This window comes from Homo sapiens, chromosome 17 (genome assembly GCF_000001405.40).
Source record: "Homo sapiens chromosome 17, GRCh38.p14 Primary Assembly".
Lineage (NCBI taxonomy): Eukaryota > Metazoa > Chordata > Mammalia > Primates > Hominidae > Homo > Homo sapiens.
This window is the reverse complement of record NC_000017.11, coordinates 55,516,439-55,542,385: the sequence shown is the minus strand read 5'-3', so window position 1 is coordinate 55,542,385 and position 25,947 is coordinate 55,516,439. Positions and strand designations below refer to the sequence as shown.

Sequence of the window (25,947 nt, the reverse complement as noted above, 5' to 3'; positions counted from 1 at the left end):
AGAGAAAAAGTCATGTTATATATAAAGTAATGTAAATAATAATAGCTGACTCCTGTTCAGTAACAATGCAAGCTAGAATACAGTGGAACAACATCTTTAGAATACCGAAAGAAGAAAACCCTCACACCTTAAAATTCTAAACCTGAAAAAGTACCATTCACAAAAATGTATAATAAAGACTTTCTCAGACTTATAAAAGAGGCCTGACACAGTGGCTCACACCTGTAATCCCAGCACTTTGGGAGGCTGAGGCAGGTGGATCACCTTAGGTCGGGAGTTTGACACTAGCCTGGCCAACATGAGGAAACCTTCTCTCTACCAAAAAATACAAAAATTAGCTGGGCATGGTGTTGCACACCTGTAATCCCAGCTACTCAGGAGGCTGAGGCAGGAGAATCGCTTGAAACCAAGAGGCAGAGGTTGCAGTGAGCCGAGATCCCATCATCGCACTCGAGCCTGGGCAACAAGATCAAAACTCTGTTTAAAAAAAAAAAAAAAAAAAAAAAAAAAAAAATATATATATATATATATATATATATGATTAATCACCAGAAGATTGGTTTAAGTCAAAATAAGAAGAATGCAGTATGACATATATAACTTAGGTAGAAGTAATATATGTGGCAAAAATAGCACAAAGATAAGGCAAGGAGGAATGAAAATACACTTGTAATAACCCAAAAGAAGGCACAAAATAGGAATAAAAAAATAGATGATACAAATACAAAACAAACAGCAAGATGGCATATTTAAACTGAAGCATAACAATCATTAATCATCAATTACTAAATGTAATTAGTCTAAACATCTCAAAGGTAAGAGATCATCAAATTAGAAAAACAAAAGAATTTTATGTGTATACATATGTCTAAATTTGTCAAATTGTACACTTTATATTCTTGGTTTATCATATGTCGGTTATAGCTTAATAAAGATTTTAAAACAAATAATCTAGTGTTTGGTAGCAGAATAGGGTGATTATAGTCAACAATAATGTATTGTATATTTCAAAATAACTAAAATAGTAGAATCAAAATGTTCCTAACACAAAGAAATAATAAATGCTTGAGGTGATGGATATTCCAGTTACCCTGACTTGATTATTACACACTGTATGCTTGTATCAAAATATCACATGTAGCCCCGTAAATATGTACAATTATTATGTATCCATAATAATTACAAATAACTACAAACAATATTTTTAAATATATAAAATTATATTTAAAATTTAAAAATAAATTAAAAATAAAAATTAAATTAAATAGAATAACATAAAAGAAAAGTAGACAGGAGAAAAGGGCTGAGAATAAAAAATGTGATAGGGAAGGTCTTCACTGAGGGACTCACTATCGAAAGCTGTAGACCAAAAGTCAATCACATCATTCATGAATTCAAGGTGACTGCAAGGAATCTGTTGAAGACAAAGTAACCACGTGTTTTCCAAATTAAGCCAAGTCACAGGAAGCCATAAATGTTTTCAAAGGCACTTTTCCAACAAGTTATTCATTAAAAGGATGTTGACAGATGATTCAAGTGTCTGGTTCAAAACCTCGCCTCAAAGAGGAATCTTTTCAAGAGTCTGTCTTCCTAAGAATTCATATCTAACAGGAGAGCTCCCGTTAGATATGAATCACTAAATTCATCTTATTTTTGACCTTTAGAATGAGACTAAATTAATCTGCTCCCTCTCCCACTTGATAGCCCTTCAAATATTTTAGATCATATTATCCCTTCTCCAGGCTGTCTATGGTAAAAATTAATCATTCCCCATGGGACCTGCTTCCAGAAATTGTCACCATCCTAAACACTTTTATTTGGATATACTTCTGCTGAAAATCTCCCTTTTAAAAATAGAGTACTATATTGAGAATAAGCACAAAATTCTAGGTGTGGTCTGATCTTTTAAAACTTAAATTATATACTTATACATTGCAACCTATAAATACATTTGTTTTCTTAATAACATTGGCAAAATGTGTGTCACATATACCCTTTAAACTCTCAACTTGTTTTCATGTGAACAGCTAACTATGATAGGAGTCTTCATCCTATCTTCTATAATCAGCATTTTGAACCTCAGTGCAATATTTTATATTTGGTGAGATTATATGCTTTCTCATACGTGCAGGTTTACTTCATTTCATTTTAGTTGTGTTTTTGTTGTTTGTTTTTTGTTGTTGTTGTTGTTTTTGAGACGGAGTCTCACTCTGTTGCCAAGGCTGGAGTGCAGTGGCACAGTCTCGGCTCACTGCAACCTCCGCCTCCTGGGTTCAAGTGATTCTCCTGCCTCAGCCTCCCAAGTAGCTGGGATAACAGGTGCCTGCCACCACGCCTGGCTAGTTTTTTGTATTTTTAGTAGAGACGGGGTTTCACCATGTTGGCCAGGCTGGTCTCGAACTCCTGACCTCATGATCCGCCCGCCTCAGCCTCCCAAAGTGCTAGGATTATACTTTCAATGTATTATCTATTTCTACTAATTTTGCATCTTTTTTTTACTATGACTTGCAAGAAATAAGAGAAATTAGAGAGAATTATAATCAGAAAAGCAAGTTAAGCAGCCAGGTACAATATTTCTCTCAATAGCTATTTGATATTACAATGTGGAGAAAACATTAGAGATTAGCCTGCCAAAACAAATCATTGAAATCAAAAATATAAGAACTGAGTCAAGTAGTCAGCACAGTAGGGTCAAGTCCTGATTCCCCTAAAGAATAAATATGGTGGAAGAACATATCTATTTATCTCTCTTTCCATCAATCTTCCAAAAGGGAAGAAAATAAAAGAACTAAATAGATATAAATTAAAATTATATAAATACACAGGAATAAAAAGAATGATAGAGATGATAATAGTATATAAAAGATGTCAGCAAAATATTGGAACTTGAAAAGAATGATTAAGTAGTAATTGGCTTAATAGATTTGATAGAAATCTAGGTTACAGAAGAGAAAGCCAAGAAGATCCAAGCAACTCATTTCAAAGAACCTCAGAGAGGCTCAGAATATTGTGTCACTAGCTGTCTCAAAACTTCAAGATGAAGGATGGGATTTCAGGATTATATAAGAAGGAGTTATACTCCCCAACTTCCTCCACCATTCATCAAACTGGTTACCTATCCCTTCTTCAGTCTAGCAAAAACAAACAAACAAACAAACAAAAACACACACAGGAAGTTTGTCGTTTGGAGAATAACCAATCAGCTCTCTTCTTCCACTTGGTTTCTCAACATTGGTAGCCAGGCTTATAACACCTAGTCAGGAAATTGAAGAGTTCCTCTATGGGGAAACTGAGAGGCTCAGGAGTTTTGAGAATTCCCCCAACAAATCAGCCAGGTCCATTCCTAGTCTCTCTAAAATGAAGTCAGCAAGCCCTAGCCCACCCATAGAGATTCAGGTTTTCTTGGAGGAGAGAAGTTTAAGAAATAACTCAAGAAAAAATGCTCTGGTACTGAAAGATAGAGATTTATAGATTATATGGAACCAGCCCAAATGCCCATCAATCAATGAGTGGATAAAGAAAATGTGATATATACACACACCATGGAATACTACTCAACCACAAAAAGAAACAAAATAATGGCATTTGCAGTAACCTGGATGGAATTGGAGACCATTGATTCTAAGTGAACTACCTCAGGAATGGAAAACCGAATATTGTATGTTCTCACTCAGAAGTGGGAGCTAAGCTATGAAGATGCAAAGACATAGGAATAATACAATGGACTTTGGGGATTTGGGGAGAAAGAGTGGAAGAGGGGGTGAGGGATAAAAGACTATACATTGAGTACAATGTATACTGGTTGGGTGATGGGTGCACCGAAATCTCAGAAATTACCACTATTCATGCAACCAAACACCACTTGTTCCCCAAAAACCTATTGAAATAGAAAAGAGACAGAAATCTGCAGATTAAAATATTGCACTGAGTATCCAGCACAATGAATTTTTTACAAACCCACATTAACACACATCATTGTGAAAATTCAAATTCCGGGGAAAAAAATAGTATATATAAAATATTGTGAATAATATCAGCCTTCTTTACAGGAACTCTTGAAGCTTAAAGACAAAGAAGTAATGTCTTCAAGATTCGGAGAAATAATCGGTTTCCACATAGAATTCTCTACACAAGCACATATGCATGTACACACATGCTATTAATCACATAAGAGGGTAGAATAAAAATGTTTTCAGATATGTGAGATACTGTCTCAAGAAATTTAATGGTCAAGCACCCCCTCTTAACAAGTGCCTGGAAAATAAAATCTACAAAATGAGAAAGTAGCCCAAGACAGAGGATCCAGGAAATAGAGGATCTCACACAGGAAGGGGAAGAAATTCCAGTATGAAGTTAGGGAAGTCGCAGGATGTTCGCTGGTCATCAAGCCTAGAGACCTGTCAAGATTGGCACAAGAGAATAGAAAGTTCCAACAGGGTGACTCCATAAAAAAAAAAAAAAAAAGAACTGATAGACTATCTGAAATGTTGATTGTGCTGAAAAAACATATTCAACTAGTGGACTATAGAATGAATTAGTGACAGAAATATGGGAAAAAGGGCTAATCAAAAATTTAGGCAATGATTAATGCTGGGAAAAACAAAAAGTTGTTCAAAAGAGAAACATGTAATTGTGTATTTCTTTGATTTAAAATATACATTTTAATTAGAAACAAATATATTCATCAAGGAGCAGAATCTGCCCAGTGATTCCATTCCTTTTCTTTCTTTTAAATGCTTGATCATTGTTTTCTTATTTTAGATATTATTTCATCCATTGATGATGGAAAAAAAGCATTTAGCTGAGCATGGTGGTGCACGCATGTAGTCCCAGCTGCTTAGGAGGCTGAGGCAGAAAGATCACGTGAGCCCAGGAGTTCGAGGCTGCAGCGAGCTATGATTGCACCACGGCACTCCAGCCTGAATGAGAGTAAGACCCTGTCTCAAAAAACAAAACAAAACAAAAATTTAGATCCATGTATACCAAAGTCCCTTACTTGGCCGGGCGCAGTGGCTCACACCTGTAATCCCAGCACTTTGGGAGGCCGAGGCGGGCGGATCACGAGGTCAGGAGATCGAGACCATCCTGGCCAACATGGTGAAACGCCGTCTCTACTAAAAATACAAAAACAAAATTAGCCAGGCGTGATGGCGGGCGCCTGTAGCTCCAGCTACTCGGGAGGCTGAGGCGGGAGAATGGCGTGAACCCGGGAGGCGGAGCTTGCAGTGAGCTGAGATCGCGCGGCTGCACTCCAGCCTGGGCGAAAGAGCGAGACTCCGTCTCAAAAAAAAAAAAAGAAAATCCCTTATATACACACATACACATACTTCTGCTAACCCCATCTTCTTGATATTATAATTTTTGGATAAGTAAAAATTCATCATTCATAATATTATGACTATGCAAATACTGCGACAGCTGTAGCTCAGGGAGTTGAAAAACTGTGTACAGAAAGTCAATCAATAAAATAATGTCTACGACTGAAAAAAAATTAATACATTTTTAGCACATTTAGAAATATGGGGTTAAAATTCAGAAGAGTCAGCTAAGAGTTGAAAGTTTATGTTTCTGGGGAACATGACTCAATGTTAGGGAGCAGGACCCCTGTAGTTCTTTTTTTTTTTTTTTTACAATATGATTCTGTTGTTCTTTGATAATAATTTTAATTAATTTTTTAATTATAATCACCAAGGATCTTACTTAAAATTATAATAAAAGCTCTTTTTTATTGTTTAGAAACTTGTTCTTGAAATTAAAAATATTAATTTGAGAATCAATTTATTCTGTAGAATTGAAAAAGCAAATTAATGTTATATACATTTAAAAATCAGATAAATTACAATCCAGGAATTCAGAACTCTAACCCCAGACCATTTGGCCAAGGAAGGTTGGCACATTACACTTACATTTTTTTTTTCATTTTCCTGTTTATCATCATGCTTCATTTCCCAAATTATTTGAAATTCAGAATGCATATTGGAATTTAGCATCTTTGGATCAGTAAAATCTCTTTAGTCATATTTCCTCTGTTCGTTATGAACAATGAAAACAGAAAGATTGAAAGAGCACTGTGCACATATAAATCTATGAGCCAGTTTTTAACTTCTAATCTAAAGCCCAGTTCTTCTTTGAGTCTTTCTTGATGGAGTGGGGAAAACAAGGATAAAAGGCATTTAAGATAAAGTATTTTTATAGTTGCAACACACAAAATTATAATATGGAAATTTGTCCTTATAGATATCTGAACAATTTGTAGTGAAGAACAAATTTACTCCAAACTAAAATGCTATTTGTTTGCTGTTTTTTCTTCTGTAATTAAGAAAATTTAAACCTAGTCCTTTGCCAAAATAATAGTTAGAAAATTTTTTTCTTTATTATCTAATCGTCTGTGCTGCTGAGTATTGCTACAGGTAAGTTAAATTAGCCAGAAAATTATCCAAAGAATTTATACTCAGGGCCTGAAAAAATATTATACTGAATAAGTAAAGTCCAGATGTTGGAGAAAAAAGCAATTTAAAAACTAGTGAAAATAGGCTGGGCGCAGTGGCTCATGGGCACAGTGGCTCATCCCAGCACTTTGGGAGGCCAAGACAGGGTGGATCACTTGAGGCCAGGAATTCGAAACCAGCCTGGCCAACATGGCAAAACTGCCTTTCTACAAAAAATACAAAAATTAGCCAGGCGTGGTGGTGCACACCTGTAGTCCCAGCTACTTGGGAGGCTGAGGCAGAGAATCACTTGAACCCAGAAGGCAGAGGTTGCAGTGAGCTGAGATGGTGCCACTGCACTCCAGCCTGGGTGACAGAGTGAGACTCTGTCTCAAACAACAACAACACCAACAAAACTAGTGAAAATATAACTACCTAGCAGTACTATCATATGTTTTGTGAATCCTAGTTTTTATAGTAGGACATAATAAAAGACTGGAATCTAGGATTTTAGTCCTGGATCTGTTACTCATGTGTCATTTGACAACAAGGCTAGTCACTTCTCCTCTCTCCGCTTCATTTTCCATCTGTAAAATGAGGGGATCAGACCAGATGACCCATCAAGTATCTTTCAGGTCATAGGAGAATACAAAATTTACACTAAGAACATAACAAGAAATTCCTTTTTCTCTTTTTGTGCATCCCCTAGATTGATTTCTATAATTATATGGAAGCATGTGAAAACCCTACCATTTCCAAGGATCTGACCAACAATTACAGCAGGAAATGTGGTCATCTAATTTAACTCTTAAACATCATCAGCAAGACTAAAAGCTTGGATGCATCCCAATTATCCCCACAAATTAATGGTGTGGTATCAAGAATAATCCACAACACTTCCACTTAGCTTTGGGATTCATTCTATTTTTTGGTTTGCCGTAGATTCCAATTAACATTTTGGTTTATTCAGGCTGATTTTAAAATATGTTGACTTAATTACATACTCAAGCCATCTAGTCTACAAATATGCCTAGTTAGATAAAAGAGATAATATTCTTGAATTTGACATAGTCCTTGAATTTCTAAGGGCTGTTTTACACTGAGACCTAGTTACATGGTCATATGGTTTATCCGTGTCCCCACCCAAATCTCATCTTGAATTATAGCTCCCATAATCCCCACATGTTGTGGGAGGGACCTGGTGGGAGGTAATTGAATCATGGGGGTGGGTTTTCCTGTGCTGTTCTCATGATAGTGAATAAGTCTCACGATATCTGACGGTTTTATAAAGAGGAGTTCCCCCGCACGAGCTCTCTTGCCCCGTGAGACGCCTGTAGACCCAGCTACTTGGGAGGCCATTGCTCCTCCTTAGCCTTCTGCCATGATTGTGAAACCTCCCCAGCCATGTGGAACTGTGACTCCATTTTTCTTTATAAATTACACAGTCTCGGGTATTTCTTCATAGGAATATGAAAATGGACTACTATGCATGGTAACAACAGAGAACTCTGTGGTGTCTGCCCAGCTCATAATTCCTTCTCCTCTAAGAACAGCCCTCCATTCTACCCCCTGGGTAGAAGCCATGTTTTAGTCACATAACACCATTGCCTAGAACTCAGCTAAGTGCACAATGGCTGAGCACCAGAACCAAATTGAGCCAATCAGAGCCCCTTCTTAGGAATTTACAGTTGTGACTGAAAGTAAAATCTCAATGACAGTTCACTTATACAGACACTATATTAACTTGAGAACTGAGGCTCAGCCATTGTCTTAGGAGTAGATGAGTAATACAGATATATTTGCAAAGACATTTGAAGAGAAAAATGGAGGACAAAATAAAGAAAGCCTGTTTTCTGGGCTCCTCATGGCTCTCCATCTCTAGTCCCTTTTGAGTCACGGCTCCATCTCTGCTGCTGGCTTCCAGAATACATTCATGTCTTCTTTCATTATCTTAAATTCTCCCTTCCTGCTTAGACTAATTAAAATTGATTTCTGTTATTATCAACAAAAAGAATCCTGCTAAATAGGCTTTTTTTTGTAACTGAATTGAAAATTATAGCTTGCTTTTTTTTTTTTTTTTTTGCATTAACTTGTAGCTTAACTATACAGAGAAGTGGCTTGGCACCAGAGACTTCAGATAACTAAAACATGATTCATATTGAGGATATTTTATCTTATTTTCTGCACCAGTCTCTAGTTCTATAAAGCTTAAGCTTTACTGTATAATGAGAATGATACACTGAATTTATGAGGTTAAATGGAGGGTCACAGCAGTGGAACTTTTTATTGTAATGTACAACTGCATTCCTGAATCAGGCACAGGTTAATACATAATAATTATTCTCTGGAAACAATGGCAAAGCATTCCTAGCAACAGACAAATCAAATAGCTACTGGAGTATTATGGCTGTCATTTGTTAATTACTCCCAGATAGCTGCAAAACACACATGCTCTTCGGCAAAAACTGAAACCCCAAACCCCTTAGAGAAAAAAGGAGGATCAGGTGCTACAATGCAAAGAGCACCAAAATGGGTGTCTGCTGATGTGAACCCATCTTTGCAACTATCTTCACTTCTGTGAATTTTAGCTTCTTCATCTCATTTGAAATACAGAAAATTCAGCATGAGATCCAAAGGCCAAAAGTAGCTCAATAGACCATGTGCTAAGTCCTTCTTTTTCTGAACATGTTGTTAAACATTTTATGCCCCCATTTCCTCAACTGTATAAGGGAAATGCTACTTGTACCTACCTCATATGGTGGTTGTGGGGTAGTTATTACATAGTAAGTGCTTGGAAGAGTAGCACATAGGAGTACTCAATTAATGACAGCTATATTGGTTTTTTATTTTTTTATTATTCCTGAGGATTTTTTTTAAACAGGCTAACTAGTTATGAGCATCTCACTGGTATATTTACTTTGACCATTGCCAACTATATATTTCATGTAGCTTGTTAAACAAATTTATAACTGTAACCAAAGCTAAATATATGTAATGATGGTATTTTAAGACATTCAAGTTAAATTCCACTAAAAGTAAATCACTAAACTGGGGTGACATAAAGCATGATTGAATAAGGAAGAATGGGTCTGAAGAAAGCCTGCCGATAGCATCTGATTCATTTTTGAATCATGGCCAATTTTTATGCTACAAGAATAGCTTTCCATGTTGCCTTTACACTTCTGGATTTCATATCATGAGGGTAAATTGCTGAAAATGTACACACAAAAGAAAAAGAACATAAAAAACATATACATATTCTATTTGTTTGAGTTCTAATGTTGCTTTCAGGTCAGACATTCTGGATTTTCATGGTTTTGGCTTCAGAAAATTCTAAGTCTAGAAAGCAGCTGTTTCTATGGGTATCCCAAAGAAGAAAACTGCTACATGAAACAAGAGCAAACTGTGGTCTCATCTGCACATTTGCAGAGTAGCATCAGATCCATGGAGATGCTGCTCACTGAAAAAGTAACACCCATTGTGTTGGACCTCACCTACGTGACCTTTCCGGGGCATAGTCTGGAAGGACATGGAAAATTAAAAGAGAAGTTAAACACTGCACAATTAAGTGAGAAGAACTTTGAATCTCAATGAATAACTCAGGCAAGACAATAGGAAGAGAATGGAGATAAGGAGAAGGTATGAGCTACAAGAAGGAAGGTCAGCCCTCCGCCAAACCAGCAAGATATTCCCTGTGGTGAAGAATGGCTGATGAATTTCAGCACAAAGCTATCTAATGTTCAGTTTCAAGTTGCTATCTACATGATGCTATGCCATCATCCCTCCATTACTGCAAAGCTTCAGTAAAAGAGAGAAAGAAAGTTAACAGCAGAAATGAGGAGCAATATTTAGGAAGCATAACGGGGCATAAAGACATGTAAACTCTACAAAATTACACAGGTGAGACTTTTCGATAGCAATATCTTATTTCAATTTTAAAATTCAGGCTCAGACCAGAAAGTGAGGGTACTTGGGGTCACCCACACAACTGACACTTGGGTGACATATGTATTCCTACACAATGGAGAAATACCTCTTCTACATGATGGCAAATATCCCTGTGAGTGTTATCTCCTTATCTTTCACTTTATCTTACCATTGTCTGGTTTGTTTAGCTCCTACTTGGGGCCTATTCCGTACTATTGTGTCCTCCTCATTTATTATGGTTACATTCCGCTTCTTAAACAATTATGTCTACTATAGCTCCATGTTTATGTAAAACAGTGACTGTGTACTGATGTTTAGTCACAATAAAAGTAGCCCATACAAAGTAAAAAAGAGTTGGATTTCAAAGGACAAACACAATTTAAGACTTTTTCCCTTTGACATTGATTTCTTTCGGTACGTCAGCCAATACATAAAAACATGTCCACCTTATCAAGGCCAAAGGTTAACTACCAAGAGCTTCATTGATTCCACAAATATTTATTGTTCATCAGTCCTATGACTGACACTACTAGGGGGTAGGGCCACAGTAGGAATAACAAATGGTCACAATGTAGTTAGGGAAAGAGAAATGAAAACAAAACTGGAAGCCGGTATATACACCAGGCCAAGACAATATAAGGAGGTTATCAAAAGCCTCTGGCATGGGAAGATACAAAAACTTCAAAAGAAGGTGACAATTGGAGCCAGTTTTGAAGAATCCATGAGGGTTCACCAAGCCAAAAGGAGGGCAAGGGCATGAACTTACAAGTAACTGCCACATTATTGAGGGAAGTTTGGTCATGTGGGGAGGTCAGCGGAAGAAAAGGGAAAGGCAGGCAGCGTTGGGGTTGTGGAGATGTTTGCATGCTTGAGATGTTTGGCCTTTAATAACCATGGAGAGCCACTGAAAGTTGATAATGATAGGAGTGATTAAGAAGATATCTTGCTTCAGAAGGATGGCTTGGAAGGAGATAGAAATGGAATCTGAAAGTCCGCAAAATCTACAACTTTTGTCATGATTGTGGGGAAGAAAAGGGAAATTAAATCATTATTATTAGGTAGGCTTAAATAGGAAATTTTATTTATTTCCCTGTGCCTGGCTGCCTGAATCTAATAGTTGAACTTGCCTAAGGGAAGAGGGTCAAAAAAACAACCTGTCACTTATTTCTTCCTCATTCCCCGCAGACAATTCCCAAATAAGAATTTCTACATCCAAGCAATTCCTTCTGCTTTCCTGCATTTTTTTTTGAGGCGGAGTCTAGCTCTGTCACCCAGGCTGGAGTACAGTGGCACGATCTCGGCTCACTACACCCTCTGCCTCCTGGGTTCAAGTGATTCTCCTGCCTCAGCCTCCTGAGTAGCTGGGATTACAGGCGCCCGCCACCATGCCTAGCTAATTTTTGTATTTTTAGTAGAGATGGGGTTTCACTCTGCTGGCCAGGCTGTTCTCAAACTCCTGACCTTTTGATCCGCCTGCCTTGGCCTCCCAAAGTGCTGGGATTACAAGCGTGAGCCACCGCGCCCAGCCTCTCCTGCATTTTTAACTGCGTCTGGGGCAGTCTGTATTAATTAGCTCTACAATCTCTTAGATTCCCATCCCAGTTGCTAAAAGGGAAACCTTCTGCCTCCACCAATATTTCAATTGCCAAAGGAGGACCATAGGGCGTAGTGTGTAAATGGCAGAGAGGAAGGTGAAGTCCACATCATTCTGAGTTCCTAGAGCAGCACCAACTGTTTTCACATCCCTGGGCTGGATTGATTTGTAATCCTCCTCTCTCCTACCCTCGACCTTTACCACCTCAGTCAATCTCTGGAAGCCAAATTGGGTTCCTATCCTGGCTACATACAATCCATTCCAAATGACCTTTTGCCAAATCCCCATGGAGTTTAGAGATCCTTCTGGGGATTTTTAAAGCTTTGTTGTTTTCAGATCAAACTTTCTCTTTTATTTCTCTTTCCTCGCTAGGGCTTAGGAGGAGAACTCAGCTTTCAGTTTGATGGTGAAATATTAGTTAAACACATCATCCCCAAAGGGATGTATTTGCATCTTCTATGAACGATGATGGAAACAGTCTCAGTTTATCAGCAAGATGGCTGAGGATGCACTTACCTAAATGAGCAATGAAGATTCATCTGCTACAGCTGAACTGTATTTGCATAGGCTAACTTATTGAGAAGGAAAAGTTAGGTTTCAGTATTATATAAAATGTGTTTGTTTTGTTTTTTGTTTGTTTGTTTTTCGGACAGGGTCTGGGTCCATCACCCAGGCTGGAGTGCAGTGGTGCCATTGCAGCTCACCACAGCCTCGACCTCTGGGCTCAAGTGATCCTCCCTCCTCAGCCTGCCAGGTAGATGGGACTACAAGCACGTGCCACCACATCTGGATACTCTGTGTGTGTGTGTGTGTGTGTGTGTGTGTGTATTTTTAGTAGAGATGGGGTTTCACTGTGTTAGCCAGGATGGTCTCGATCTCCTGACCTTGTGATCTGCCCGCCTCAGCCTCCCAAAGTGCTGGGATTACAGGCGTGAGCCACCGTGCCAGGCTCACATCTGGATACTTTTGTATTTTTTGTATAGAGGGCATTTCACCATGTCACCCAGGCTGTTCTTGAACTCCTAGACTCAAGTGATCCACACATCTCAGCCTCCCAAAGTGTTGGGATTACAGGCATGAGCCACTGCTCCCAGCCTGGATATATAGTATGAAATATTTTTAATGGTAAATTAATTATGAGTTGTTGGGCAAAATTTGGCTGCTTATTTGTAAAACAAACTAGCATTTTTTAACCATATTCTGCTTTGTATTGTCTCTGTATGAATATCTCTTTTATACTGCAGCAAGAGGAAACCTGAGAAGGATAGTTCTGTCACCTCCATTTTTTCTTCAGAATAAATGTCAACATCTATGAGTTCTTCTTTACACAAGTTTAAATAGTTGGTGCTAGACAGACCCAGAACAAACATCTGAAGGAATCCCCTGAAAATATGAGGTCACTAATATAAGTGACTTATCCAATGTCACACAGGCAGTTTGTGGCAGAGCTTCAATTCTACCCAGATTTCCTGGTTCTTCATCCAGAGCTCTTTAGCTACTTTTCTGTATATGCAAATTGCATTTTCTTCCAACTGTCTTAGCAGAAAGAGTAAAAACAATTACGTTATAGGTTTAAGACTTCCTTGAGGCTGGTGCAGTGGCTCATGCCTGTAATTCCAGCCCTTTGGGAGGCCTAGAGGGTCAGATCATCTGAGGTTAGGAGTTCGAGACCAGCGTGGCCAACATGGTAAGACCCCTGTCTCTACTAAAAATACAAAAATTAGCCAGGTGTGGTGGGAGGCATCTGTAATCCCAGCTACTCAGGAGGCTGAGGCAGAACTGCTTGAACCCGGGAGGCAGAGACTGCAGTGAGCCGAGATCGTGCCACTGCACTCCAGCCTGGACAACAAAAGTGAGACTCCAACTCAAAAAAAAAAAAAAGAAAAGAAAAGAAAAAAAAAGACTTCCTTGAATAGCTGTGCTTGTGCTTGGTGGTGTGCGCCTATAATCCAAGCGACTTGGGAGGCTGGGGCTGGAGGATCACTGGAGACCAGGAGCTTGAAGCTGCAGTGAGCTATGATCGCACCACTGCACTCAGGCCTGGGTGACAGAGTAAGTCCCTATCTTTAAAAATATATATTATATGAAATTGAAAAAAAAGAACTTCCTTGAATAATCCCACCCACCTGTGTTGTTATCCTGGTTAGTAAATAATCGTGAGCAATGGTATTGATTTATGTGTTCACATAGGCAACAAGCATTTGTCAGGCATTTATTATTGTGCCTCACATGAGGCTAGGCAGTTGGAGAACAATGAGATAACACAATGTAGATTTTTAAGGGCTTCATATTGCAAACCGTAAGACACACTAAAATAATGGGTAATATGTGCTCTAATCCTGGCATGTGAAAAGTTCTGGAATATAAAGGAGAGAAGGCTGAAAAGTGAAGGGTGCAACCTAAGACTCTGACCAGTGACTAGGAGTTTTCCAGAGGAGGAAGAACGGGAAAGGCATTTCAGGAAAAGGCCAGCATGAACACGCATATGAAGCTGCACGCAGGTGCAGAAAAAGGGGTAGGTGTTAGTCTTCTGGGGCTAAGTAGGCAGACCCTGGTTTCTGCCACCCCTGCTAAGTTTAATGCTTTCTGACGACAGACACAAGGTGTTCAAACCTAAGTTGATAGTTCTCTTCTCCCCTGATCTGCAGAGTGGCAGCCTATTTTTTCTGACTGTAAAATGGACTACAAGAGAAAATTCCTGCTCAGAGGGTGCCCTCTCTTGGTAAGCGTGCACATGCAGTGTTTCTCTCCAAGAAGGAAAAGGATACTTCAAATTGCCTATAGTGTCACCCTCATGCAAACCTATAAAAAGAAGGAAAAAGATACTTCAAATTGCCTATAGTGTCACCCTCATGCAAACCTATAAAGAAAACACAGTTTCCCTGACAGGTCACTTTAGTTGACAATAAGAGTAGATGTGAGGGAAAGAGCCACAGACTGAGAAAAACTGGATCCCACAGGCCTAGCGACCTGATCATAAAATCAGTGGATTGCGCCAAATGTTCTTAGTCCCTCCTTTTTCTGATGTACTCTGACTTCTAGAAGCTATGGCTCACTAGATCTTGGCTAAATTTAAAATTCTTGCTACTTAAACCATATTCTCAGAAGTTAAGGACTCTGAGGAAACCAGAGAATCCCCACCAGGAGAGAAATATTGTTTCTGGCTGTGGCAGCTTTCATCTCTGAATGTTCCTTAGCAGCCAGAGATAATTGGTCCATATAACTTTTCCTTTCTCTTTTTCTCACATTCTAGCAGTAAAAATCCTTTTTGAAGATGGTCAATAACATGAGGACATAGAGCAGAATCACATTCTGTTTCTACAAAACACCCCCACCACCATTTTAAACTACAAATCTGCCAAACAAAAGATCATCCAAAAGACACTTTTTGAGTGCATTGCAGAACTGGGAGGGTATCTTCTTCCGAAGTAATTTCATTTTTCAGGCTTGCAATAATAAAATGATCTTAAGAGTGCTGAGAGCCAACAGCTGAGGGGAGTAGAGCCACCGTTGAGCCCTGAGGCTTGGTGGTATCCTGGGATTTGGACATTCCCCACAGATAATTCCAGCAAATGCATTATTATAGGGGAAAACAGTTCCTTGAAGTGGGGAAGGAGACTGAGAGTGTGGGGAGGGGAAAGAAATGAGCCAGAGGCAAACTGTGTGTGGTCATGTGGGAAAAAATTAGCTTATTTTTTCTGTTGTCGCCCAAAGAATGTCACTGGTGATATAAAGAAGTGGAAAATGAGAAAACTCCATGATCATCCAAAAGCCATTATTGTCCATTTCCTGATCCTGATGGGAAGGAAAATTGGACCATAAATCTTAGACTTACACATGGTCATGGTCTCTTAATGCCCTCTGCTGGCGAGGAGGCAGACTGCAGCTGCCTGCACTGTGTTATAGTGGACAAACTGCATAGTACCTCTAGGCTTCATTTCCCTCATCTATAACATGGGGATAATAATAGTCTTTCTCGGCCGGGCGAGGTGGCTCACACCTGTAATCCCAGCACTTTGGGAGGTCGAGACGGGTGGATCACCTGAGCTCAGGAGTTCAAGACCAGTCTGGCCAACATGGTGAAACACCATCTCTACTGAAAATACAAAAAATAAAAAATAAATAAATAACCAGATGTGGTGGCGCACACCTGTAATCCCAGGTACTTGGGAGGCTGAGGTGAGAGGATCGCCTGAAGCCGGGAGGTGGAGGTTGCAGTGAGCCGAGATCGCACCACTGCACTCCAGCCTGGAGGACAGAGTGAGACTCCATCTCAAATAATAATCATAATTAATAATAATAATAGTAGTATTGCTCTTAGAGAAACGTTGTAAAGATTAAAGGAACTAACATATATAATTCATTCAAAATGGTGCTAGCTATAAATTAGAATGGCCTTGTTGGCCACATTTGTTTCCTTTCTCTATCTCCAGTTTTTTGTTTGTTTTCCCAAATCAAAACAAATCAATTACAGCTCTGTAATTGGTGTGGTGGCTCACGCCTGTAATCCCAGCAGTTTGAGAAGTCGAGGCAGGCGGATCGCTTGAGCACAAAAGTTCGAGACCAGTCTGGCCAACATGGAGAAACCCCATCTCTACTAAAAATACAAAAATTAGCCAGGCATGGTGGCGCCTGCCTGTAGACCCATCTACTCAGGAGGCTGAGGCTGGAGAATCACTTGAACCCAGGAGGCAGAGGTTGCAGTGAGCCGAGATCACGCCACTGCACTGCAGCCTGGATGACAGAGTGAAACCCTGTCTTAAAAAAAATCAATAAATGTCTATCACACTTTCATTATGTACAAAGTATCATATATAGTAGATATTTTGTCCCTATCCTCAGTGAATTAAATCTATTTTGAAGATGCAACACAAAACTGGTGAAAAGTTAAATCTTAGGAAGATTTGTATAGAATATTCAGTCATCAAAAGAATTTTAATTGGGAAGTACATTATTAATTCTAAATTAGTTGTGCATACAATGAAATTTTCAGAGGAGAAGGGTAATGTAAAATGTTATGGGGGAGGTAGGATTTGGACTTGGTATTAAAGATGGATTTTAGGTAAGGATGAGCAAAGAAGGCATAAGAAACTAGAACAGCAATCAATCAATCAATTAATCAATGAGGCAAGGTAATGGGAAGGAGAGTTAAGGAAAAGTGGAGAGACAAGGGATGACACAGTTTTTCCAAATATATGTGAATAATGAAAATAAAGCTGAAAAGTAGGTTGGTGCTAACAGAAGGCTAAGCTAAGAACTAGCACATCTCAATGTTACAGAAGAAAGCCTTCTGTAGACAGGGGAACATATATAAAAGGAGGTACAGTATAGAAGTTACAGGTGCAGGCTCCATTGCCACTGCCTAGATTCAAGCCTTGGCTCTGCCACATAAAAACATACGACCTTGGGCAACTTCCTCAACCTGTCTGTGCCTCAGTTTTCTCATCTGTAAAATGGAGGGATAAACTTCCATAGAGTTGCTGGGAGGATCGGATGGCTCAGTGCATGTAAAGCAGTTAGAAGAGAACTTAGCACATAGTAAGCTCTCAGTCTATGTGAATTATGATGATGACAATGTAATGATAGCCCACCTCTTAGGTGATCCTTCACTATTCCAGGATTGAAGTCAATCCTAGCTTTATACAATTGCTACTAGTAATAGGGCACTTTTTTCACTAGCTTTATACAATTGTTACTAGTAATAGAATACCATTTTCTCTTAGTAATAATGGACTTCCTGAAACAACTGGACCCTTAGAAACTTTTAGTGAACTAGAGAAATGCAAATCAAAACCACAATGAGATACCATCTCATACCAGTCAGAATAGTTACTACCAAAAAGTCAAAAAATAACAGATGCTGGCCAGGTTGCAGAGAAAAGAAAACGCCTATACACTGTCGGTAGGAGTGTAAATTAGTTCACCTATTGCAGAAAGCAGTGTGGTGATTCCTCAAAGAGCTAAAAAACAAATACCATTCAACCCAGCAATCTCATTACTGGGTATATAACCAAAGGAATAGAAATTATTCTACCATGAAGATACATGCTGTGTATGATCACTGCAGCATTATTCAAAATAGCAAAGACGTGGAATCACCCTAATGTCCATCGATGACAGATTACATAAAGAAAATGTGGTGCATATACACCACAGAATGCTGCATAGCCATAAAAAAGAATGAGATCATATCTTTTGCAGAAACATGGATGGGGCTGGAGGTCATTATCCTTAGCAAACTAACGCAGAAACAGAAAACCAAATAATGCATGTTCTCACTTATAAATGGGAGCTGAATGATGAGAATTTATAGACGCAAAGGGGAACAACAGACACTGGAGCCTACTTGAGGGTGGAGAGTGGGAGGAGGGAGAAGACCAGAAAAAATAACTATTAGGTACTAAGGTTAGTACCTGGGTGACAAAATAATCTGTACAGCAAACCTCTGTAACATGAGTTCACCTATGTAACAAACCTGCACGTGTACCCCTGAACCTAAAATAAAAGTTAAAAAAAAAGAAAAGAAAAAGAAAAACTTTCTTAGGAGGTTAGATATTAATATGTTATCCTCAAAACTTGAAACAATTTTTCTGAAAAAAGAAACTTTTAATGAGCTTATGTTTTCCATTCGGCTTCATATAAATAGAGCCAGGCAATTTGAAAGCCCAACTCAAAATATTACTTTTCCCTGAAGCTGGATGTATTAGTCGGCCGAGACTGCCATAACAAAATACCAGATATTAGGTGCCCTAAACAGCAGAAACCTATTTTTCTCACAGTTCTGGAGGCTCTGGAAAGTCCAAGATCAAGATGTCTGCAGGTCTGGTTTCTTCTGAGGCCTCTCTCCTTGGCTTGTCTATAGCTGCTTCCTTGCTTTGTCCTCACATGTTTTTTTTTTTTTTTTTTTGAGACGGAGTCTCACTCTGTCGCCCAAGCTGGAGTGCAATGGCACAATCTCAGCTCACTGCAACCTCCGCCTCCCGGGTTCAAGCAATTCTCCTGCCTCAGCCTCCCAAGTAGCTGGGACTACAGGTGCGTGCCACCATGCCCAACTAATTTTTGTATTTTTAGTAGAGACAGGGTTTCACCATGTTGGCCAGGAAGGTCTCGATCTCCCGACATCGTGATCTGCCCACCTCAGCCTCCCAAAGTACTGGGATTACAGGCATGAGCCACCACACCCAGCCCCTCATGTGGTGTTTTTGCTGAGTATGCACATCCCTGCTGTCTCCCTGTGTGGTCTCATTTCCTCTTCTTCAAAGGACACCTTAATGGCCTCATGGTAACTTAATCATGTCTTTAAAGGCCCTATCTCCAAATACAGTCACATTCTGAGGTTAGGGATTCAATATATGAATTCTGGAAATCACAATTCAGCCCACAGCATTAAACTAGGACCTCTTTCCTCATTATAATATTTCTCTAATCCCCTGCCAAGATCTTTTTTTATCACCATTATTTCCTAATATTGGAAGAGATGTGTTTGTGAACGGCTTATTCATTCCCCAAATATATATTCAATGCTTAGAATGTGCCTGCCATGCTCTGGGCCCGTGTACAGGGATACAATGAATACAACAAACTTCCTGCCTTCATGGAACTTACTTTCTAGAGGGGAGAGTCATATCACAAACAAAATGCATGACAACACTAAGAACATGTCAGATGGGGACAAGTGCCATAGAAAATAAGCAGAATAAAGGAGAAAAGGAGTGGCCCAGGGATGGAGGTGACATGATTTGGCTGTGTCCCCACCCAAACCTCACCTCAAATTGTAATAATCCCCACATGTCAAGAGCAGGGCTAGGTGGAGATAATTGAATCACAGGGGCAGTTTGCCCCATACTGTTTTCATGGTACTGATTAAGTCTCATGAGATCTGATGGTTTTATAAATGGGAGTTCCCCTGCACAAACTCTCTTGCCTGCCTATATGTAAGATGTGAATTTGTTCCCCATTCACCTTCTGCCATGATTGTGAGGCCTCCCCAGCCACGTGGAACTGTGAGTCCATTAAACCTCTTTCCTTTATAAGTTATCCAGTCTCAGGTGTGTTTTTATTAGCGATGTGAGAACACACTAATACAGGAGGTTTTTCTTTTATAAGGAATGGTCATGGAAAGCCATAAAAGTCATAGTTGAGCAATGATCTGAAGGAAGCAGGGAACCAGCTATGCAGATAATCGGAGGAGAACATCTCATGTAGATAGAACAGGTACTATGCAAGTACTATGATCCTGAAATGGTAGTGGCTTAGAGTGTCCAAAAAACACCGAAGTGGCTAGAGTAGAACAGGTGAGGGAGAAAGTATTTGAAAATGAGAGGACAGAGGTAGGTTAGCCAGCTTGTGCAGTGCCTTACTGCCCGTGTAAGAATGCTGGCTTTTGATGGAGTGAAATGGGGAGTTATTAGAAGGTTTTGAGCAAAGGAATAACATGGTTTGACATGTGTTAAAATGCTCACTCAGGTTATTGTGTTGAAAATAGACTAAGTGAGGGGTGGTGGAGAAATCTAAGCAGGTATGCTAGTTGCATTAATCAAGTTGGGAGGTAAGAGTGGGTTGGCAAAAAAAAAAAAAAAGTCAAAGCGGTGAAGATGGTAAGAGAAGTTTGCATTCCCAATATATTTTAAATGTAGAGCCCCCAGGATTTTCTGCTATTCCATATGGTGCTTGCACCTCCCTCTCCGGATTGCTTTCAGCATCCTGACAATTAACACTGTCAAAGTTTTAGTTGCATCTGAGCATTCTCTACATCTTGGAGGCAAGGATACATCTAAAATCCACGCATGTCCTCCCAAGTCCAATCTACACATCAAATAAATGAACACTAACATTATATAAATCCTACATAGGAAACTAGAGAAAGATAAAGTAGACATCTTTATTCATCTATACCCTAATCACAGGTTATAAAAAGTCCAAAGCCAAAAGGAATGCAGAATGCCTCCAGATGGTATGATATTCAGATAAGGAAATACAGAATGTCATCATGGGTGTGAAACATTTCTAACCAGAAAAGGGAACAAGAGCAGCAGAAAGGAAAGCAGACCAGGGAAGTGATCACATTTGTTATCCCTAAAACAGGGTAGCTAGCATGATGCAATTATTTTTTGTAAGGGTTCTTGTCAATACTTTCAAAAGCAAGCTACAAAACTCTTCTCTCTAATTGCTGAAGTTAAGAGGAATTGGTGTCATTTTTGTTTTCCTTATTTAAGACAAAGAAGTTAGCCTAGCTCTACTCATCTTTTCCTTCCTTGCTTTTCTTTCATACATTCTGAGATGTTAGGTCAAGATTTTTTTTTTTGAGATGCAATCTTGCTCTGCCACAAGACTCCAGTCAAGCTGGAGTGCAGTGGCACAATCTCAGCTCACTGCAGCCTCCACCTCCTGGATTCAAGAGATTCTCCTGCCTCAGCCTCCCAGTGGCTGAGACCACAAGGGTGCACCACCACGCCTGGCTAATTTTTGTATTTTTAGTACAGACAGGGTTTCACCATATTCTCCAGGTTGGTCTCGGGCCTCAGGTTATCCACCCGCCTTGGCCTCCCAAAATGCTGGGATTACAGGTGTGAGCCACAGCACCTGCCGGTCAAGATAATTTTTGTTAAGTAAAAGTTATTATTACTACTATTGCAGTGGCTTCCCTCTTATCCACAGTTTCACTTTCCACAGCTTCAGTGAACCTCTGCCAAACACAATCTGAAAATATTAAGTGAAAAATTCCAGAAATAAACTATTCGTAAGTTTTCAATTGTGTGCTGTTCTGAGCATCCTGATGCAATCTCATGCCGTCCCACTCCGCCCTACCTGGGACCTGAATTATCCCTTTGTCCATTGTATCCGCACTGTACATGCTACCTGCCCATTAGTCACTCAGTGACCATCTCAGTTTTCAGACTAACTGTTGCTTTATCACTGTGCTTGTGTTCAAGTAGCCCTTATTTTACTTAGCCCCAAAGTGCAAGAGTAGTGATGCCAGCAATTCGGATATGCCAAACAGAAGCCATAAATTGCTTCCTTTAAATGAAAGTGTGAAAGTTCTCTATTTAATAAGAAAACAAATTTATGCTAGAGGTTGCTAAGATTGGTGGTTAGAATGAATTTTCTATCCATGAAATTGTGAAGGATAAAAGAGAAATTTGTGCCTACTACATACTTGAGATGAAGAGATTCTACTAGATTTTCTGGGTGGGCTCAAAATGCCATCACATGTATCCTTATAAGAGGGAAACAAAAGGAGATTTTACACACACAGAGGAGAAGGCAATGTGAAGACAGAACAGAGAGAGATTTGAAGATGCTGGCTTTGACGATTGGAGTGATACGACCACAATACCAGTAGCCATGAGAAGATGAAAACAGCAAGGACCAGAACTTCTCCCTCTTGATCCCCTGAGGGGAGTACAGCCTCACCAACACCTTGTTTTTGGCCCAGTAGTACTGATTTCAGACTCCTGGCCTCTAGAATCATGAAAGAATAAATAGCCAATTTTTTAAGCCACGAAATTTGTTAGAGCAACCACAAAAAATTTATATACCCACATACTTCAGGACCTACAATTTAAGTAGGTGATTTACAACCCTAAACAGCTGCTTCTAAACATTTCTTCACCTTTCTCCATCAAAATCCTGAGCTGGCGTGGTGTCCATACATCAGTGAAGGACATGTTGTCAGACTTACTCGCCAAATGCCTCTTCTTTTCACAATTGTCTAGCAACCTCCTGACCACCATTGTCTTACCAAGGACTTGAGCACTTAGCTCACCTCATTCTCTTCCCTCTTACACTTTTGTCCTTCTAGACAATTTCAGCAATGCTCTGCCCCTGCAGATTTTTTATTATCTCAACTCCAAAGATATGCCCTTCTGCTATACACTCTAATGGTCTTCCCTACATCTTGTCATTGCAAATAATTTCAGAATCTCAATTCCGGTCATACCCCTCTTGAAGCACCACTGCCAGTCCTCCCAGTGTGCCAACTCCTCTTCTCTGCTCCAACTCTCTTTGACCACACAGGGACCACCATTGCACTCACTCCACCATTTATCACAATTTCCCGCCACATTCCACCCACACACCACATGCCCTCATATCCCTCCTTACCCAGTGTACAGGTTTTGGTGTAGTAACAGAACTATTTCCTTCCTAACACCCTCTTGCGCCAACCTTCTATTCTGCTCACTGACTAACCTCCAATCTGCTTAACCAAACTATCTGCCTACTTTGAACTACTATCTCAATTTAAATTCATGACAACCCATGTCAAAGGGGAATTCAACACTGCCCAGCACTCCTACCCTACTTCTCTAGGATATTTGTCTTCCTTTTTGTCAAAATAACTATTTCAAAAATTCACCTCTTTTAAAATATACAGTACATTTCCTCCACTCAAATTCTGCTAATGATCTTAACTCATTCCTCGGTGAGAGAAAAAAAAAAAAAACCCAAATATCAGATGAAACAAACCTCATATTCTCACCACCAAAGCTGTTCTAAACCTACTTATTTTTCTTCTCTTTTGATAAATGGAAGCATTGTCCCTACCTCTAGTTCCACGTTTCCTCTGGATTTCATCGCTGTTCAAGGAACTTTTCCTTTTCTCTCTCATATTATCCTTTTCTCTCTCATACAACTTTTCCTTTTCTCTCTCATATTATCACTTGCCCTTTCACAACTCACAACCCATGGGCTCGCATGATGCTTTCATATCACTCATCTAAAACAAAAACGAAACAACTTTGTTTCACTGACACCCTGCTTTCTAGCTATTTCCCATTTCTCTTCAATATTTCACAACCAAACTCCTCAAAATTATTTTTACTCACGGTCCACTTTTTTACCTTCTTTTCTCCACCTATTTTTAGGGGTTTTCTTTCTCATCCCACCCTATGAAAACCCCTTCTAATTTTAGCAAAATCTCAAAACTAACAGTCAACTGTCTATTCTCATTTTACTTGATCGATCACTCAGCAGCTTTAAACCTAGTTGGTCACTGCCTTTGTTGAACCCAGTGCTATAGTTTGAATAGTGTTCCCCAAAGTTCGTGTATCGGTAACTTAATCCCCAATTCAACAGTGCTGAGAAGTGGAAACTTTAAGAGGCAATTTGGCCATGAGGGTTCTGTCTTTATGAATGGATTAATCCTTTTATTGTGGGAGTGGGTTAGTTATCAAGAGAGTAGATTCTTGATGAAATGACAAATTCAGCCCTCTTCACCCTGTCCTGCTCTGCTCTCATGCTCTCTCTTGTCCTTTTACCTTCTACCATGGGATGACACAGCAACGAGGCCCTCGCCAGATGGTGGCCCTTCAATCTTAGATCTCCCATTTTCCAGAACTGTAAGCCAAGTTATCCAGTCTCAAGTATTCTGTTATAGCAGCACAAAATGGACTAAGATACATACTTCTCCCTGGATTTTCATGACACTAAGTGCTTCTGATTTTCCTCTTATCTCTCTGTTCACTCCTCTTTATTATTTGTTGATTTCTTCCTCTCTGTTTAACATTTAGATGTTGGGATACTCTAGGCTCTGTCCTTATTCCTCTTCTCTTCCTAATGTACACCTTCTTTTAATGTCATCTCATTCAGTTCTATGACTGTAAATATTACCTATATATTGATAAGTCTAAAATCTATATTTGCAACACTGACTTTTCCACTAAGATCTGAACTCAAATATCCAGCTGTCTTCTCACCATCTCCAATTTAATCCTAAGGATAACTCTTGATTCACCTCCCAAATTTACTTTCCTTCAGTCATCCACATCACTAAATGATACCTCCATATACCCGAGTTGTTCACTCTGTGACCTTGGTAATAAGAACCATGAAGTCTTTTCAATCAGGCATCTCTCAACTTGTTGTTGTTGTTGTTGTAACAGAGTCTCACTCTGTCGCCCAGGCTAAAGTGCAGTGGCACGATCTCAGCTCACTGCAGCCTTCACCTCCCAGGTTCCAGCGATTCTCCTGCCTCAGCCTCCCAAGCTGGGACTCCCTCAGCTGGGACTACAGGTGTGCAGCACCATGCCTGGCTAATTTTTGTATTTTCAGTAGAGATGGGGTTTCACCATGTTGGCCAGGCTGGTCTTGAACTCCTGACCTCAGATGATCCACCCTCCTTGGCCTCCCAAAGTGCTGGTATTACAGGTGTGAGCGAACATGCCAGGCCCATCTCTTACCTTTTGTATCTCAATCCTATTTCAGAGTCTTAGAAACTCTCCATTATTTTCTTTGCACCATCTTAGTATACCTTCAATAGTAAGGTAGCCCTGGTTTCTCCAGTTAGCTACCTTTCTTGGACATTGTTCTCTACTATTCCAGCATATTGCCATTCAGTGTTATATAGGGCATGAGACTTCTCCAGGAACCTGGCAGTCTTCCAAGAATATACTATGTAATCAAAGCTGAACCCTTTCTGCCTTGGAGTGCCCATCTAGGTGATTATATAGTCTTTCTTCTAAAAGATGGTATAGGGAGTGTTGGGGAGAAGCGTCTTCTCAGGGACACACTAACATCTAATCTCTTGTCACCTCCCCTTAGAATTCCTTTTTCAAATCTTCCTCAAGAATAGGAAGGCTGGCCAGTTGCAGTGGCTCATGCCTGTAATCCCAGCACTTTAGGAGGCCGAGGCAGGTGGATCACCTGAGGTCAGGAGTTTGAGACCAGCCTGGCCAATATGGTGAAACCCCATCTCTGCTAAAACTACAAAAAATTAGCCGGGCGTGGTGGCAGGTGCCTGTAATCCCAGCTACTTAGGGGGCTGAGGCAGGAGAATTGCTTGAAACCGGGAGGCGGAGTTTGCAGTGAGCCAAGACTGTGCCATTGCACTCCAGCCTGGGTGACAGAGTGAGACTGTCTCAAAAAAAAAAAAAAAAAAAAAAAAGGAAGACTGTTCACATTCCTCACTTTCTCTTTCCTACATTTTGGCCTGTTATATAAACTTTATGCTTTTGGTCTCTTGATACACAAAGCCAATATTTTGTAGTTCTAAAAATGGCC

General features: G+C 39.7%; 1 protein-coding gene and 1 long non-coding RNA gene across 3 annotated transcripts in view; both read left to right on the top strand.

Moving 5' to 3' along the window:
- Window positions 1–4,892: 4,892 nt before the first annotated feature.
- On the top strand, window positions 4,893–9,808 carry LOC124904034 (uncharacterized). The gene is made up of 3 exons (XR_007065855.1): window positions 4,893–4,929; window positions 7,138–7,297; window positions 9,720–9,808. It is a non-coding gene; the product is annotated as an uncharacterized LOC124904034 (long non-coding RNA).
- Window positions 9,809–10,238: 430 nt separating this feature from the next.
- SMIM36 (small integral membrane protein 36) overlaps window positions 10,239–25,947 on the top strand; it is an 82,292-nt gene continuing 66,583 nt past the window's right edge. Inside the window, exons 1-4 of one of the 2 annotated variants that reach the window (XM_047435094.1) lie at window positions 10,241–10,328; window positions 12,322–12,538; window positions 14,304–14,464; window positions 14,598–14,671. In XM_047435094.1, coding sequence (XP_047291050.1) covers window positions 14,627–14,671 — 45 coding nt within the window. In that variant the 5' untranslated portion in view covers window positions 10,241–10,328; window positions 12,322–12,538; window positions 14,304–14,464; window positions 14,598–14,626. Of the gene's footprint in view, window positions 10,329–12,321; window positions 12,539–14,303; window positions 14,465–14,597; window positions 14,672–25,947 lie in introns of both variants that reach the window. The other variant, XM_047435095.1, reaches the window with a different exon arrangement.